This window comes from Homo sapiens, chromosome 9 (genome assembly GCF_000001405.40).
Source record: "Homo sapiens chromosome 9, GRCh38.p14 Primary Assembly".
Classification (NCBI taxonomy): Eukaryota; Metazoa; Chordata; class Mammalia; order Primates; family Hominidae; genus Homo; species Homo sapiens.
Window position 1 is genome coordinate 37,187,119 of NC_000009.12, and position 18,933 is coordinate 37,206,051.

The 18,933-nt window shown below is 38.8% G+C and overlaps 1 protein-coding gene across 19 annotated transcripts in view, besides 2 other annotated features; it reads left to right on the forward strand.

Annotated features, from left to right (window-relative positions):
- Positions 1-18,933, forward strand: part of ZCCHC7 (zinc finger CCHC-type containing 7) — a 237,983-nt gene that overhangs the window by 66,952 nt on the left and 152,098 nt on the right. Inside the window, exon 1 of one of the 19 annotated variants that reach the window (XM_011518051.3) lies at positions 330-453. The exons of the other annotated variants lie outside the window; for them this stretch is intronic. The gene's annotated coding sequence lies outside the window, so the exon portion shown is untranslated. Of the gene's footprint in view, positions 1-329; positions 454-18,933 lie in introns of those variants that run through there. 19 annotated transcript variants of the gene reach the window in all.
- Positions 1,179-1,258: an enhancer, noted in NCBI's record as "active region_28379". NCBI's record gives its function as "activates an Ori minimal core promoter by ATAC-STARR-seq in GM12878 lymphoblastoid cells {active_cell/tissue: GM12878}" and the evidence as "EXISTENCE:reporter gene assay evidence [ECO:0000049][PMID:35858748]".
- Positions 2,702-2,921: an enhancer, noted in NCBI's record as "active region_28380". NCBI's record gives its function as "activates an Ori minimal core promoter by ATAC-STARR-seq in GM12878 lymphoblastoid cells {active_cell/tissue: GM12878}" and the evidence as "EXISTENCE:reporter gene assay evidence [ECO:0000049][PMID:35858748]".

The window sequence follows — 18,933 nt, forward strand, 5'->3', positions numbered from 1 at the left end:
CCATTATTACTTCCTTTATGTTGGATTTGGATAGTTTAGATTGTAAGCTTCTAAAGGGCAAATAATACATCTTTTCAACTGTGGTCTTGACTAGCAGTCCCAAACCTTTTTGACACCAAGGACCAGTTTCATGGAAGAAAATTTTTCCATGGACAGGGGTCGGGGGATAGTTTCGAGATGAAACTGTTCCACCTCAGATCATCAGACATTAGATTATCATAAGGAGCATACAACCTAGATCCCTCGCATGTGCAGTTCACAATAGGGTTCATGCTCCTATGAGAATCTAATGCAGCAGCTGATTTGACAGGAGGCGGAGCTCAGGCTCTAATTCTGACTAGCCTGCCGGCTGCTCACCTCCTGCTGTGTGGCCCAGTTCCTAACAGGCCACGAACTGGTACTGATTGTTCCCCAGAGTTTGGGGACCCCTTGTCTTGACAGTATCATGCACAGGTAGGTACTTTTAAGCTGTTTGATATTATTGTTTCTACTTCGGGAGATGGGAAGATAAATGGAATAAAATGAGCAAAGTGGCAGTGCCATTAAAGATCTGTGGATATCTGATTTCTCACAGAATTCACAGAATTACCCTTCATTAAAAGATGCAAATGGCAGTTTTATGAAGTCTTTTTGCCCTGTTTTGTGTTGGGTGTTCAGTACAGATGCAATTTTTTTTTTTTTAAATTTTCGATACAGGGTTGGTTGAATCCACTGTTGTGGAACCCATGGGTATGAAGGCCCGACTGTGCTGGGTTAAAAGGTCTTTTCTGTTAGAACTTAAAAATACTATCCTACTTCCTTTTGTCCTCTGTGGTTTCCGATGACAAATTCTCAGTTATTCTAATTTTGTTACTTTGTGAGTAATGCAAGTGAAACTTAAGAATTTGAAAATTTGAGTTTTCAGCCATTATTTACTCAAATGCTTTTTCTTTCTCCACTATACTCTTCTTCCCTTCTGGAACTTGAGGAAATGAATATTAGACCTCTTGATAACTATTGTCCTGTAAGTCCTTGAGGTTTTTTATTTTTATTTTTATTTTTTTGTTTTAAGAGACAGGGTCTCATTCTGTCTCCCAGCGTGAAGTGCAGTGGTGTGATCACAACTCACTGCTGCCTCAAAATTGGCTCAAGCAATCCTCCTGCCTCCACCTTCAGAATAGCTGGAACTACAGATGTGTGCCATCATGCCTGACTAATTTTTTTTATCTTATTTTTTATAGTGCCAAGATTTCACTATGTTGCCCCAGTCTGGTCTCGAACTCCTGGGCTCAAGTGATCCTCCCACCTCAGCCTCCCAGAGTGCTGGAATTAGGTGTGAGACACCATGCCCAGCCCCTGAGGTTGGTCTCTCCTCTCATCTTCTCTCCCCCTACCCCTCCCCCCTTCCTTCCCCCTCCCCCCTCTCCCCACCCCTCCTTATTACCCTCCCCCCTCACCTCCCCCTACCCTCCCCCCTCACCTCCCCTACCCTCCCCATCTCACCTCCCTTCCCTTCCCCCGCCCCTCCCCCTCCTTTCCCCTCCCCCTCCCCTTCCTCCCCTCCCCTCCCTCTCCTCCCCTATCTCACCTCCCCTCCCTTCCCCCACCCCTCCCCCTCCCTTCCTCACCCCTCCCCTTCCTCACCCCTCTCTTCCCCCTCCCTCCTTTCCCCTCCCCCTCTCTTCCTCACCCCTCCCTTCCCCCTCCCTCCCCTCCCCTTCCCCTCCCCTCTCCTCCCCTCTTCCCTCTCCCCTCCCCTTCTCTTTCCCCCTCCTCTCCCTTCTCCTCTCCCCTCCCCCTCCCTTCTCCCCTCGCCCCTCCCTTCTCTCCTCCCCTCTCCCCTCCCCTCCCCTCTCTCCTCCCATCTCCTCCCCTCTCCCCACTCCTTCCTTTCTTCATTTTTTTCCCATCTCTCAGATTTAATATTTTCTATAAATCTGTCAGCTATCTAGCCTGTCTAATGAGATTTTCATTTTGGTTATTATATTTTTCAGTTTCTAAATTTTGCATTTGATTTTTCTTTATATCTTCTATTTTTTGAGGTGGCTTTCCATCTTTGTTCATCCAAGAGTGTTTGCCCTTGTTGGAACATTTTTATAATAGTGGCTTTAAAGTCTTGGTCAGATAAATCCATCATCTGCATTATTTCAGTGTTGGCATCTGTTGTTTTTTTCTCATTGAGGTTTTCCTGATTCTTCATTTGTCAAATTATTTTGGGCTGTATCCTGGACAATTTAAGTGTCATATTTTGAGACCTTTTGTCTTGGTTTAATGCTGTGATGAATGTTGAATTCTTTTCCCCCGCTGAGACTGAGTTTTGCACTTGTTGCCCAGGCTGGAGTGCAACAGCGTGGTCTCGGCTCACTGCAACCTCTGCTTCCTGGGCTCAAGCGATTCTCCTGCGTCAGTCTCCCAAGTAGCTAGGATTACAGGTGCACACTACCACACCCAGCTAATTTTTTCTATTTTTAGTAGAGACGCGGTTTCACCATGTTGACCAGGCTGGTCTCGAACTCCTGACCTCAGGTGATCTGCCTGCCTTGGCCTCCCAAAGTGCTGGGATTACAGGCATGAGCCACCACGCCCAGCTGATTTTTTTTTTTAATAGGCAATTTGGTTGGGTTCATTCAGGTTGAAAGTTCTAAACAGCCTTCTGTAGGCTGTAGTTCCAATGCCAGTTTCCTTTACAAAACCTTTGCAGTCTTACTCAGAACTGTCCAGTGTGTGTGCCAAACATTGGACTGTCTGGGAACTGAGTAGTTGTCTACTCCATAGTTTAGCTCTCAGAGTCTGTGGTATGTTATTTTAGGATCAACCTTATGCAGGCATAGTTTGGAAGGGTGAGCACAAACTTCATGGGGCCACTTTCCTATGCTTCTCCTTCTTCATAATCTCTCTGGTACTTTTTGGTTGCCTAATCCTCCCCTCTTTATACTTCCAGCTACAGAGCTGGAGCTTGCTTTAGTTACTCTCTTCTGCTGCACATTTCTTGCAGCTGTGCCCATACTGGGGCCAAGTAGCAAGAAGACAGAGAAAAAAATAAGCAAAAAGAATTCTTGCTACCCTCTTGATGATGAAGGTTTGTTCCCTCAGAGTTTTAGACTTCTGCAGACCCCACTGCTGCTGCTGTCACTGCTTCCACCACCATCTTGTTTGCTCAGGGGCTGGGTATGGAGGATGTTGAAAAGAATAAAAAAAATGCCTAGGGAATTTTCTTCATTCTATCTAAGTATTAGGAGATTCTGTTCCTGCTCCTCAAGCTAGAACTAGAGGCTTCTCCTGGAGTTCTCTTTGTCTATCCCTGAGTGCCTGCTTCCAGATTTCAGCTGCTTTGAGTCTAGGGCAGGAGATACTAAAGGGGGAAAAATACTAAATCATCTGTTTGATATTAATATGAATTCTTATTTTATTCCCCAGTCTGCCTTAACTAGCTGCTTTATGCATCATCCAGGTTTTCTGGATTCAGTGGAAAAGACAAGGTAGTGTGTGCTTATTCCATCTTACTTGGAATTGGAACTCCTGGTATATTTGGAAATCAACAAAAATGTTAAAACGTAAGAAACAATTGTAACTCTAATGTATGGGTTTCCCCATATTCTTTGTTTTATGCTTCATGTTGTTTAAGAATACATGCATTAGGCTGGGCACGGTGGCTCACGCCTGTAAATCCCAGCACTTTGGGAGGCTGAGGCGGGTGGATCACCTGAAGTCAGGAGTTCGAGACCAGCCTGACCAACATGGAAAAACCCTGTCTCTACTAAAAAAAAATACCAAATTAGCTGGGCGTGGTGGTGCTTGCCTGTAATCCCAGCTACTTGGGTGGCTGAGGTGGGAGAATTGCTTGAACCCGGGAGGCGGAGGTTGCGGTGAGCCGAGATCGCGCCATTGCACTCCAGCCTGGGCATCAAGAGCAAAACTCCGTCTCAAAAAAAAAAAAAAAGAATACATGCATTAGAACCCACACAAGGAAACTGTCCCGTTTCAGGGTACACCTTTTATGGGTGCAACTAAATGTGCAAATTTAGTAAAACATTTTGGGCACTTGAAGCTATTGCAACTTTTGCTGCCTCAGAGAAGCAGGATAATTAAATTTTTGCCTATGGAAAAAGTAATTTTACCTTAGTTTTATGTCTTTTCTAATTTGTCATAAGATTCTAGGCCAAAGATCTAATAACCATTTTCTAGGAAGTTTCTTTTTGTTTGTTGTACTTATTTGAAGTGCATTAGGTTTCTCTTCTTTTTAATCACCAGTATATTGTTTTGAAAGTATATTGAACATTTTTTGTCATATTTTTTCTCCTTTCTCTTTTATATTTCTTACCTTTTTGTACTTTTTGTTTTTTACACTGTATTTCTTTATTTTAGATTCTTCACCCCTACTCTCCATGTCCCCTACTCCCACCCCACTAAAATGGTGGATAGGATTTATGTAGGGGTGCTGCTCTGAGAGTTTGAACTCTGATTGAGAGACTAATCCCCACCCCCGAAGGCTGTCTGCATCAGCTGTCCCCCTGGCTAATTAGAATTCCAAAGGGCATTAATAACCATTTAAATTAATCCGATTATACCTGCAGTTGCTAAAGGTAAGGTTCAGGCTGTTTAACCCTCTGTTAATGAACGCAAACATGAATCAAAACTGGGTAGGAATTTTACAGTTTATTTTCATTTCTGCCCAAAGGAAGAAAACCATTTCACCTGCTCTTTGTAGCAGTCTAGTTTACAACAATGCAAGGAAGCCTTGCCATTAATTCAGCCTTCATTAAAAGACCAAAGCTAAATTGCTCCATCTTGTGAAAATGCATTTGCATTGTTTGTGAAAGTCCTTTGGGGGCAGAGCTGTAGAAAACCGCCTAACAGCAAATAATCCTTTAGTTAAATGCAAAAGTGTTATAAAGAGCTAAAAATTCTCTTTCTAGCAACTAATGTTGCAATGATAATTTGACAGTAGTGGTCTCCCAAGGGGCATTAAACAGGTGGAAAAAGAGCTACCATTTCAGAACTTTAGTTAAAAAGGAGTGGAAATTGAATGACCAGTATTAAGAGTCAGAAGAAAGTCTATAGGGTTATGTAGTCCAGTTTCTCTCATATAGGAATTTTTTCTCCAACATAGTGGACATGGTTACCTAGTTTCTTTGTAAACATCTCAGTAACAGCAAGTGTTAATAAGGCAGCCCATCTCATAATCAGATAACTTGTTATTGTCAGAGAATCCTGATCTGAAATTAGTAACTATTATTTTTCTTTCATTTTACCCTTTGAGCCATATTGAATTATTTCAGTATAGCTCATTGCCCTCATTCCTATTCCCTGACCTCTCCATATTTTCTTCTTTAGATCAGGTGTGTATTACAGGAGATTTTTGAAATGTAGAAATATATGGAAGAATAAAATGTTCAGTAAACATGATTGTAAGACAGCACTTTTCATACATGGTTGAAGTTGAAAAATTTTAAAGCAAGAAAAGGACCAGAAGAAATATCTTTCCATGTAATTGGCTATTTCTTGAAGAGTTATTCTTTTTGCTGTTAATGTGTGTGTCACCTATGGAAAAGTCTAGATTCAATAACTAAGTCAGAAAAATTGGTTTGAGAAAAAGACATCTACTGGAATCTGTACGGCAGTCCTTCAACAAAGATATCTATTAGTCGATAGATGTCATCCCCAACACCTGTCTACAATGACTCATGTCTTTTCCTGATTACCACTTATAGATTTTTCCCTTTTTAAAAAAACTTTACACAAAATGTAAACTTCATACATTGGGATTATTCTTTAGTCTGGATCTTTTCTTTGAATGAAATAAGCTTTGGGATGCTTATTTAGATGTTCAATGGAACAGTGTGGAGAACAGTAATTGTGTTTGGGCTAAAGAATTAATCCATTTAGTCATGGGAAGCACTACTTAGCTTTCCATAGCAGCTGAATTGTGGTGCAACTTTGGGGCTATTTTAGGATTTTAACCTCAAATAGAAATGAAAGTTTATTTGTATTGATGAACATATGCTTTTGAATAATGAGCCATTGACTTGATTTCAATGAAAGTGAAATTGTTTTTCAATTCAGTTATTTTATGTTTGAACATGAATTGAAAGCTACATCTTTGTATTGCTGAAATTTAAAAAAAATCAATAACTTTAACATTTTAACAGAAAGTGTTTTAATAAGCAATTATTAGGGTGGCTTCAGAAGGGTATTGTAGCTTTAAAAATTTCTGACGGTTATTAGTACACTTTTGTACTGTGTAAATCAGACATTGGAATAAAATTACTTTTATTAACTAAAATTCTCCTACAATAGGAAATTTTACTGCATTTTGACATCTAGCAGGCCAAAGAAAGATGTTCAGAAAGTCTTATTTCTGTCTCAGACCAATAATTATCCCATATTTTGTATAAAACATTCTTTAAAATTGTTAGTTTAGATGATCACACAAAAGTAACTTTTCCAAGGGATGTAAGTTGCCTGCCACTGTACTACAGTCTGGCAGGTTCTACAGCCTGGAGAAAAATCTAGTAGCCTTTTAAAAAAAAAAAATTGTGTTAATAATAGCCTGTTTATGTTGTTGGATTTTCTGCTGTTTCATGTACAATTTTATATGAGCTACCAATTAATGCAGTTTATATGCAGTTTCTATCCTCAGCAAGGAATGAGGTGGTAATCCTGCCCTGCTCTTACTACAAAAGCTGGGCACATATCTACCAAGGAAAAATTTGTCCGCCTTCAGGAATTTCTTTCTCCCTCTTTCCTAATCAGTGCAAATCCATCAGTCACCTGAAGTCTCATCTCCTCCATGAAGCTTGTCCTGTGTGACCCTTGTAACCTGATATCCTCATCTTTAAAATTATTATTTGAATGCCTCATCCCTTTCCCTCTTACAGCGTTTTCATTATGATTTTCAGGTTCACACTCAAACTCAGACATTGCTGATGTTCTTTGAACTCCTCTCTGGCACTTAACTTGCCTATCCCACACAATTAAGCACTCTGACCAATTTTGTAGTTAGGGTGAAGTTTTCATACAAATGTGGATATATTGAAGACAAACTCTAAAAAATTGGGTACTTGCTATGCTAGGATAGTGGCCTTTAATATATTAAAGAATATTTCTCTTTTTGAGTTAGCATTTTTAATAGAAAATTAGATAATGGTTAAAACTCAAATTGGAGTACTTGATTCCTGGTGATTTAAGAGATGATACAGAGGTCCTATAAGAGACTTTAGAGCTTACTTACATATCGTAAGTGGTAGGTCAATGTAGAGTTAAGTAGCAACGGCCTTGCAACTCAAGAGCAAGACTGTTAGATAATATAGGTAGAGAATCAAGCAGGATGAAGCAGTGTATTTAGTATAGGGAATGGAATTATTTGGAGTAATGGTACTGGGAAAACATGTCTGAACAGATAATAGAGAGTGTGTGGGGTTAAGACAGACTCTAGTGGCACTGGGAGGATTGGGATAGAGCTTGGTGTTGCACAGATATTGTGCCTTAAGCTTAAGTGATGTATTGATGATTTTCATGGAGCATTTATTCTTTTTAAAGGGAAGATTTATTTGGGTGTTGTCCTGGTTAACTTCAGGAAGGCTTCTGTGTGAAATTATGCTGGAATTCGTTTTAAGGATGTAAATCCTATAAATCCACAGCTTGGGTGACAAATTGAATCTCTAACAAATAGAAGGAATTTAAGAGAAAAATCCTGTTGTCAAAGAATAGCTGATATTACAAACAGTTATTATATATACAAATTCTCTATCCAAAGGATGTCTTTGTATGTTGTTGAGATCATTGTCACTGCTTACTCTCAGGTGGGTATAGCAGAACAAGAACTCAGATTTCTTGGATTCTCTTTTTTCTTTTTTTTTTTTTTTTTGAGATGGGGTCTCACTCTATTGCCCAGGCTAGAGTGCAGTGGTGTGATCTCGGCTCACTGCAACCTCCACCACCCGGGTTCAAGCTATTCTCATGCCTCAGCCTCCCTAGTAGCTAGGATTACAGGCGTGCACCACCACACCTGGCTAATTTTTGTATTTTCAGTGAAGACGGGGTTTTACCATGTTAGCAAGGCTGGTCTTGAACTCCTGACCTCAGGAGATCCGCCCACCTCAGCCTCCCAAAGTGCTGGGATTACAGACGTAAGCCACCGCGTCCAGCCAGATTCTCATATTTTTTGTAACAGCAGATCCCTTATAAGTGCATCCCTTTGCACACCTAAATGCCTAAATCATATTGTTGATAAGTTTAATTCAGCAAATAACTGTTATTTAGCCACTAGGGACGTTGCAGAAGAAACTACAAAATAAAGTTTTTTTTGTTTATTTTCTTCTCATCTCCTTTAGATATATGAAAAATGCTGCTCATTAGCAATGTTTGTGATGTGGTCATGCAAACCAATGTGTTTTGCGTCTAATGTAGCAGTTTAATGAGTGGGAAGATGACTATCCTGGGGTGAATATGAAATGTGGCATGGAAAAGGAAACAATTGCTTGTGAATCCTGGAGAATCTGGTAAAGGGGGAACTTAAATATGTCGAGGAAGGGAAAGGCATTGTAAACCAGAAGAATAGATAGGGAGAACAGTTTGAGCAAATTGTTTTGGGAGGCATATTTAATGTAGTGAAGACTTAATGTAGTAGTGATTTAATGCGAATTAGCTGGAAGAGACACTACCTACAAAGCTCATAATTTAGTCCAAATTCTGAGGAGTAACTTATACTAGGTTGGTAATGGTACTACTGCAAGTAAATAAAATATTGCCAAAATAATTTTGAAATTAGAGTCACCACGATTTAATGACTTGATAAAAATGTTAATGGAGAGAAGAGAGATTGTAAGTTTGTGTGATTTTTTAAAATAATTCAACTACTGATAGCAATAGGGAAGTTGAAAGGAAGGGCCCAGTCCACTTTAGTTTTAGATGTGTAGAGTTTGAATTTTCTGCATTTGATTTTGGTGAAGGAATTATGAGGGTACTTCAAAAAATAAGACTAGAATGTTTGTGTCAGGCCCAGATATATAAATATATATAAATATTTGGGCATGGAAAGAAAATCCCAGGAATCAAATAATGTGCCAGTTTTATGATTTTGACACACTCAAACCTCTGCCTTTTGTTTCTCTGGGTCACTCTGTCCAGTACAACAATAGGCTTGCTATGTATTTTGGATGAACAATGAAAGAGAGTGAACTGTTCTTTAAAAAGCTGTTTATTATAGTGAAACTTTATCTGTAGATGCAGCCACTTTGCCAGATCTCTGATGGAACTAACAATAATTTTGTCTAGTTAATTTTAATAGTACGTCCTTTGTCACAGGTTGTTCAAATGAACAAATATAACATGATTTTTATGGCAGGTAAAGAAGAATATTTTAAATGGAAGGAGACCTGATGCAAAGAAAAAGGCATTATTTTTAGTGGTGCAGCGATTTTGGGACTTATTATAGTAGAACCTATTCTTTATAGAGATTATTTTGTTTGATTTTTCTATTTTGTTTTTCTTTGCTATCTAGCTTTGTTACATAGTGACCATTTTTAGCACTATAAAACTTAATGTAGTAATCAGATTTAGCAGATTATTATTTAAAGCTGAGCATTTAAAATTAACTTTTTGCCCTGTGTTCATTTTTGAATTTCCTGTTTTTATATAAATATTTGATTAAAAAGCTTTCTGTTTAATAAAATTGTGTTATGATTATTTTAATGTCGTTTGAGGACATTTAAAAAACCCTCCCAAAATATCTAGGATATTGTTTTAATCTGTAGCCTTCTCAGTAGAAATTAAAAAAATTGGGGGATACACTTTTTTGTGTGAAGGATAAAGCTCTTGTATTAATGACAACATTAGGTACTGGGTAGTATTTTAGTCATTATTAAAATTATTATTAAAAATTCTGTTATATATTGTAACGTATTAAACATTTGAGTATGTGTTGAGTTCATCATTTGAATACATAGTGCTGTTTTAAGTTATTTGTGTGTTATGAAGAAAAGGTCACTATGTTTTATTTTTATAAGGTGGAAAAAACAATCCAGAATGATAATCAAAGCCAAGGTAGAGGAACTTGTTAAACACTTTAAAATTAGACTTCCCCCCACCCCCAGCCTCTAGTGTGATACTTTGAAGGCAGCTGCTACAGATAAACTCTGGAGCCCCAGATGGTGGTTGCCTAATCCTCATGAGAATTCATGTCCTGGAAGCAGCTCTTATCTCTCCAGACCTGACATTGTCTGTGAGCTTTTGCTAAGGAGGGAATAATATAAACATGCTATGCATGAGTTTCACTTCTTGAATATGTCAAAGACACAGGAAGTTATAACAAAGTATAAAAAGAACCGAGTTCACATTTATTGAAAATGTTGTTATTTAAAGCACTTGATGCTAGCTTGTGATGATGAGTGATGGGGTGCAGTCTGGAAGGAAAGGCACAGTGAACTGTTTTTTATTTTGGAAACGAAAATGCCAGTCTCAGTGTTATGATTTCAGAGATGTAGATTTGTCATTAAGTGTGCAGTACCCAGAATAATTCAGTTATTTGATCTAATGTAAGAATGTAAAACAATCCATCCTGTAAATGAATGTCCTGGCTTTTATTTCCTATGCAGGAGTCCTCTCTGTTTCGAAAGTCAAAACAGCAATTGCACTATTCTGGATTTGATGTTTTGTTAAAAAAAAAAAGTTTCCGAAATCTGATCTGTGAGATCTGGGCCAGTGACAACTATAAGTGGTTGTCTCTTTGGCATAGCAGCCAAATATTCTGAAGTGAAATTGTGGATACTTTATCTACTTCAGGTAGTGTCTCATTTAATATATGAGCAGGGATGTTGGCACTGTCATCATGAATAATTGTTGAATCACCCATCACTTGATGTTATGACTGTCTATAAGGAAAAAGGGGAATTTCCCATCTTATAAAATGACAAAATTTGTAATTAAATGGGAAACTGTAGTGTTCCTCATAACAAAGCCTAAGCCTGTCTTTCAAATCTGATACCTCTTTCTCTAAATAACCTGTTTTCCAACCACTCTGGCCCTCTTACTTGTCCTAGAATCTGTGGTGCCCTGTTATGTTTTCATATCTTTTTTCATTTTATTTCATCATTCTGCAGAGCCCTTCCTCAAAAAAGCTTCTATTCATCCTGTGAGATGAATAGACCCAGCTAAAATATCACTTGTTCTATGGAGTCTTTCTCAGACTGAATAATTTTATTTTCTCCCAGAATGTTACAACCAGAGTAATCTTTGTAAACTACAGATTTGATCATGCCTCAATAAAAAAGTTTTAATGGTAATTAACATTTCATATCAAACTCAGTGTATCAGCCTAGTGGTCTCTGTCTTCATTTGTCCAGCCGATCACATCTTCTCTTTGTCACAGAACAACTTGCTGTTATCCCTTCCTCTGAGCCTACTTTGTGGTCACTTTTGCCCTGGAGTGCTCACCCGTCTGTCTATTTTAGTCTTCCTCATTTTTAAAGATCTAGAGTCTATGAGGAATTAAGATAATACAAAGTGGAAAGTGTTAGGTGCCAAAAGAGAAAGAATTCAGTTGGCATACTTATGTTGTCTTTGCCTCCTCTGTTCAAGTGGGAGGTCCTAATGATAGAGCTTGCTCCCTCAAACTTGTGTATATTCTGCAGTCTCTAGTACAGTATCTTAGGGAAGAGGTAGAGGAGGAGATAAATTTGAAAGATTAGTAAGAAAGAACTGAGTAAAACCTGGGTTTGGTTAGATAGGATAGGTGGTAGAGTGAAGGAAGAGGCATCAAAGACTCGTGTTCAATACCTTTTTTGCATTGAATTAATTGATGATTGACCCTTGGTGTGTTTGTCATATTTTCCTTGCTCTTTGAAATTCTTTTGCCTAATGTGTGCTAAAGTAGTCTGAAACAGACTGCTTACCACCTGTATCTTTTAGCCTTCTACCCACTGAGCTCCTTTTCTATTGCTTCCTATTTTTGACACATTTGCCACACCCTCCTCCCCACCTGTATTCTCTTTTTGGGGTTCTGTTTCCCATAGTAATTTAAATGGCCAATGAAAACATGCCCCAGATGATACTATTTTTCATCATGCTCTCCTGCCACTTTGTTTTCCTGTTTAAAAGAACAAACAGCAAAAGAAAAAGACACAAGCTGCTAGTTTGTAGCCTAGCTGGCTCTGATTTCTCTAATTCTTGTCTTTGCTGTTCTGTCATTCTTGGTTTCTACTGTTTCTTTTTCTTTTTTCTTTTCTTTCTTCTTTTTTTTTTTTTTTTTTCTTGAGACGGAGCTTCACTCTTGTTGCCCAGGCTGGAGTGCAATGGTGCGATCTCAGCTCGCTGCAACCTCCACCTCCTGGGTTCAAGCGATTCTCCTGCCTCAGCCTCCCGAGTAGCTGGGATTATAGGCATACACCACCACGCCCAGTTAATTTTTTGTAATTTTACTAGACACAGGGTTTCACTATGTTGGCCAGGCTGGTCTCGAACTCCTGACTTCAGGTGATCCACCTGCCTCGGCCTCCCAAAGTGCTGGGATTACAGGCGTGAGCCACCGTGCCCAGCCCTACTGTTTCTTTTTCTGTCTGTCTGTCTGTCTGTCTTTCTCTCTGTCTGTCTGTCTTTCTGTCTGTCTTTCTTTCTGTCTTTCTTTCTTTCTTTCTCCTTTTCTCTCTGTTGTCCAGGCTGGAGTGCAGTGGCGCGATCTCGGCTCACTGCAAGCTCCACCTCCTGGGTTCACGCCATTCTCCTGCCTCAGCCTCCCAGTAGCTGGGACTACAGGCACCCGCCACCACGCCCGGCTAATTTTTTGTATTTTTAGTAGAGACGGGGTTTCACGGTGTTGGCCAGGCTGGTCTCAAACTCCTGACTTCAGGTGATCCACCTGCCTCGGCCTCCCAAAGTGCTGGGATTACAGGCGTGAGCCACTGTGCCAGGACTGTTTCTTTTTCTTACCGCGCTCTGCTCCCATTTTTGCCTTCCCATTTGTGCGCCACCATTATTAAATGCTTTATATTCTCTCTTTTGATTGGGTTACACGTTCTTTTATTCTTCCTATTCTTAATCCTTTGTGTTTTCTCTGTTACTTTGTTTTTCTAATTTCCTCTCTCTTTGTTATCTTTTTCTGTTTTCTTCTCCATGTTCACTTCCTTTTTTTATTATCTTTCAACTCTCCTCCTTTTTTCACTCTTCACTGTGTATCATTAAAAAATAAAAACAAACCCGAAAACAAAACATAAGCTCTTGGCTGTATTCAGGCCTCATTTTGTGCTTAATTTCCATGTTTCCTGTTGCTTTAATTAGAGCTGACACCAAGTTTTCCCCTTCATTTATGACTTTTCATTGTTTTCCTCATATTCCTTACCCATAACAAATCTTAAAAAGCTATAATCCCAGCTGTTCTCCATCACCATCATGTCCAACTCCATGTGCTTTCTTTTTCCATTTTTCTTCCAGTGATTTTATGTATGTGTGTTTATTAAAGTCCTAAAATGGGGAAAGTATGGCTGATGTGCAACTGTTGAGTCCTGCAATACTGGCTTTTCTGCCTCCTAGAAGCCTTGGTGGTGAGGGTAGAAGCGGGAGCCAATTCATAAAAAGAGAGTGAAGAGTCAAATAAGAAATTTGAGGGTGTTTATAGCTGTCTGTAAATTATGCTTTGTGGAAAATAGAGTTGGAAGTGTAATTGAGGAACAGGAGTAGACCAGAAATATGAACCATTGAAAGGCTCTCTGCTTAAAGATGCTTATCTTTTCTTCCCTTCCCCTGTGACTCATACCTACTGTTCATTAGAAATGCATGTGTTTTAACTGGTCTTTTTTAAAATGAAAATGTTCTGTAATGTTAAGTCTTCATCACACTTTGTGTGACTTAATCAGATTGTGAATAGGAATTTTAATTTTGAGTGTGAGGGAAGGACAGTGGAGGGAGAGCACTAATGGGTAGAAACTCTCCTGTGTAACAGGGGCTATGGGAGACAAGGGTATCATTGCATGCTCTTGTAACTTTTGTTTTGAATTCATTGAATTTTTTAAATGAAGAAGATATTAGTGAGAGTCTAGTTTAATTTATTTATTTTATAGGTTAAAAAACGATCCAGAGAGATTTACTTGTTCAGGTCTTACAGCTTGTTAGTGATTGAAAAGGGCCAGTTCAATCCATTGTCTTTTTAATGCCATATTATTTTTGTATTACAGTGGCTTCCTAGCCATTCCTTGACTTGAAGTGAGAAGAAAAGGATCAAAGAGAAAAAGAGACAAAAAGTAATATGTATATGTGCCCTTCCACCTTCTCATTCTTTTCTTCCTTTATTGTCAGCATATTATAATATTCTGGTTTTCCATATCTGAAGAACAGATCCTGCTTGTACGGCTAAGGAGCTGTTTTATTGCAAGTATTAGAAAACAAAAATATTAGAGCTTTATTGAGGAGGAAAGTAATAATATATTTTAAAGGTTTTCTATGCTATTTTATTTGTGTTCATCAAAAACACAAGATCACTTTTTGTGTAGAAAATCTGAATGGGAAGCAAAATCTGACTGGAGAATCCAGTGGTCCAGAGTTACTTTAAGAAGTGAATATGTTTAAATAGCAGGGCCCAATGACATGCATCCTAGGGCACTTAAAGATGTGGCAGATACCATTGCAGAGGCACTAGCAAATTACCATGCACAGGATGTGAAAAGGGCAGAGTAATGGTAGGGCTTCTAAGCCACCACTTTTGTTAATCTAGTGCTCTTTACCACCTCCCCCAAAGCTATAGAAACAAAGAAGCTATACAAAACTCATATTATCTGCATTGCACTGGGCTTTGAAGACACCACTTATCCAGCCATACCCCATTTTCTCAACTTACGCATCCTAAATGTAAATCCAATGTGGGTTTTAAGAGCTTGTATAATGTCTATGGAAAATAGAGAGTAGAAATAGAGCTTCTATTCACAAGTGTTTCTTGAATCCCATTTTTTAGAGTACATTTAGCATACTGACTTATTTGATCCTCTAAGCAACTCAGAATGTCTCTGATATAATGCATAAAAATAAAGATAGCACAGTGTGCAATAAAAAAGTTTACATTCTTTGGATTCAGTTTGTATTATCAATCCAGACCTTTTTATTTGTTTGTTTCTATTATGTACCTTGTCTGCTTCCACAAAAGGATTTGAGATAGATTGGGATAACATGCATGTACAATAGTAGGACAGCTGAAGATAAAGTTAAAGGGTAAACAGTCAAGTGAGGTTACCTCTTCTAGGAACCTGAGGTAAAATGATTATTGTATTTAGATATTAAATTTAGCTCTCAGCTTTGGCAGTTAAAACCAAAGGGAAACATAATGAATTGTTTGTTTTAATTGTTTGTTTAATTAAAGAGAAGCACATTACTTTTAACCTTAAATCATGGCTATTTAAATACACATGTATTATCTCTGTAAACTTTTTTGTTTGTTTTTAGAGGCAGGGTCTTGCTCTGTTGCCCAGGTGGAGCTTACTGTAACCTCCACCTCTTGGGCTCAAGTGATCCTCCTGCCTCAGTCTCCCCAGTAGCTAGGACTCAGTTGTGAGCCACCATGCCCAGCTAATTTTTAAATTTTTTTGTAGAGATGGGGTTTTACTATGTTGCCCAGGCTGATCTTGAACTCCTGGACTCAAGCGATCCTCCTGCCTTGGCCTTCCACAGTGCTGGGATTATAGGCGTAAGCCATCACGCCCGGCCCTTATAAACTACTTTAGAGTAGAAACCATATGGATCCACGTTTGTCTCCATCACAGTTTTTAGCACAAGTGAACAAATGGTTGAATATGATTTATTTTTAGGAAAGTAACTTGTTTTGGCACTAGAATCTAAGAGAAAATTTGGCTTCTGGAATCTTATGAACAAAATACTGAGTAATGTAAGTTATTGACAACTATTTCAGCCAAAGTTTTACAAAAGAAGCAAAACAGTTCTTTGTATAGCCCTTGCTTTTGTTAAACCCACAGAAACTACAGGGGGCAACTAGGAAGTGCAGGGTGGTATCTTGAACAAATGAGATTCTGAGTCGATGGACCCAAATCTAGTCCCATATCTGCTTTGGTTTCTGTGACATTGGGGAAGCTATATAACCTTACTGAACTTTACAGATTTCCTCATTTGTAAAATAGGGCTAATAATAATTTTCTCAAAGGCATTTTGGTTTGTTTAAATGAGGTAATCCAGGTACGCAACAGTTTCTTTTGAGAGAAAATATTTTTCTTTAAAAAATTTTTTTTTTACTTTAAGTACCAGGATACATGTACAGAATGTGTAGGTTTGTTACATAGGTATACGTGTGCCATGGTGGTTTCCTGCACCTATCAACCTGTCATCTAGGTTTTAAGCCCCACATGCATTAGCTGTTTGTCCTGATGCTCTCTCTCCCCTTGCCCCTGCCCAGTGTGTGTTGTTCCCCGCCCTGTGTTTATGTGTTCTCGTTATTCAACTCCCACTTATGCATGAGAACATGTGGTGTTTGGTTTTCTGTGTTCCTGTGTTAGTTTACTGAGGATGATGGCTTCCAGCTTCATCCATGTTCCTGCAGAGGACATGATCTCATTCCTTTTTGTGGCTGCATAGTATTCCATGGTGTATATGTACCACATTTTCTTTATCCAGTCTATCATTAATGGACATTTGGGTTGGTTCCATGTCTTTTGTATTGTGAATAGTGTTGCAGTAAACATATGTGTGCCTGCATGTTTATAACACAGTGATTTATATTCCGTTGGGTATATACCGAGTAATGGAATTGCTGGGTCAAATGGTATTGCTGGTTCTAGATCCTTGAGTAATTGCCACACTGTCTTCAACAATGGTTGAACTAATTTACGCTCCCACTAGCAATATAAAAGCATTTGTATTTCTCCATAGCCTCGCCAGCATTTGTTGTTTCTTGACTTTTTAATAATCGCCATTCTGACTGGCATGAGATGGTACCTCATTGTGGTTTTGATTTGCATTTCTCTGATGATCAGTGATGTTGAGCTTATTTTCATGTTTGTCAGCCGTGTAAATGTCGTCTTTTGATAAGTGTCTGTTCATATTCTTTGCCCACTTTTTGATGGGGTTGTTTGTTTTTTTCTTGTAAATTTGTTTAAGTTCTTTGTAAATTCTGGATATTAGACCTTTGTCAGATGGGTAGATTGCAAAAATTTTCTCCCATTCTGTAGGTTGTCTGTTCACTCTGATGATAGTTTCTTTTGCTCTGCAGAAGCTCTTTACTTTAATTAGATCCCATATGTCACTTTTAGCTTTTGTTGCAATTGCTTTTGGCGATTTCATCATAAAATCTTTGCCCATGCCTATGTCTTGAATGGTATCACCTAGATTTTCTTCTAGGGTTTTTATGGTTTTGTGTTTTACATTTAAGTCTTTAATCCATCTTGAGTTAATTTTTGTATGAAGTGTAAAGAAGGGGTCCAATTTCGGTTTTCTGTATATGGCTAGACAGTTTTCCCAGCACCATTTATTAGATAGGGAATCCTTTCCCCATTGCTTGTTTTTGTCAGGTTTGTCAAAGATCAGATGGTTGTAGATGTGTGGTCTTATTTCTGAGGTCACTATTCTGTTCCACTGGTCTATATGTCTGTTTTGGTACCAGTACCATGCTGTTTTGGTTACTGTAGCCTTGTAGTATAGTTTGAAGTTAGGTAGCATGATGCCTCCAGCTTTGTTCTTTTTGCTTAGGATTGTCTTGGTTATGTGGGCTCTTTTTTTGGCTTCATATGAATTTTAAAGTAGTTTTTTTCTGAGATAAAATAATTTTCTGAACTAAGCATGGGCTTTTCAGTTAGGCTGACTTTGGATTTTGCTGTTTGATCATGGGCAAAGCACTTAACATGTCTGCTATGGTTTGAATGTGTCCCCCAAAGGTCATGTGTTAGAAATTTGATCCCCAATATGGAGATGTTGGGAGGTGGGATCTTTAAGATATGTTTGGGTCATGAGGGCTCTGCCCTCATGAATGGATTAATGCAGTTATTGTGGGAGCGGGTTCATGACAACAGGAAAAGTTTAACCCCATCTTAAGTGTGCTTTAGCACCTGCACAGTATGCAGGTTAATTCTCTTGGCAAGAATCTTGCCCTTAACTGGTTTGTTTACAACAATGCCAACAGCGTGCAGGGTAACATTGTAGACTCTTCCAGGTTTGCCATGGTAACATTTGTGAGGTGTTCCTTTTTGAACAGTACCTATTCCCTTGATGTCTGCAGTATCACCTTTCTTGTAGCTTCACGTGTATGTGGCCAAAAGAACAACTCTTTTCTAAAAGGCCTGGAGAACATTATCAGGTTCCTCCCTTACTAGAAAATGAGAGTGTCCCACCTGAAAAACAACTAGTATACTTTAATACACTTTAAAGTGACTACATAATATTTCACAGCTTAGATGTGTCATGGTTTATGTCATCTTGGCTCTGTTGATGGGTACTTTGTAAGCTCCACTTTTTTTGAGACGGAGTCTCGCTCAGTCGCCCAGGTTGCAATGCAGAGGCACAATCTCAGCTCACTGCAACCTCCACCTCTCAGGTTCAAGCAATTCTCCTGCCTCAGCCTCCTGAGTAGCTGGAATTACAGGCACATGCGACCACACCTGGTTAATTTTTTGTATTTTTAGTAGAGATGGGGTTTCACCATGTTGGTCAGGCTGATCTCGAACTCCTGACCTTGTGATCCACCTGCCTTGGCTTCCCAAAGTGCTGGGATTACAGGCATCAGCCACCTTGCCCAGCCAGCTCCACTTTTTTTATTTGGTGAGGAAAGTTGAAATCATGCATTTGTACAATTGTGGATTTGTTGGAGTTTTTTTTTTTTTCTTTCCGCTTAGTCAGTTCCTAATTTGTACATTTTGAAGCCCTATTCTTAGGAGTATTATGATATTTTGGTGAATTGACCCCTTAGTCATTATTAAATGTTTCTCTTTATTCCTGACAACGTCATTTGTTCTAAAATCTGCTTTTTCTAATATT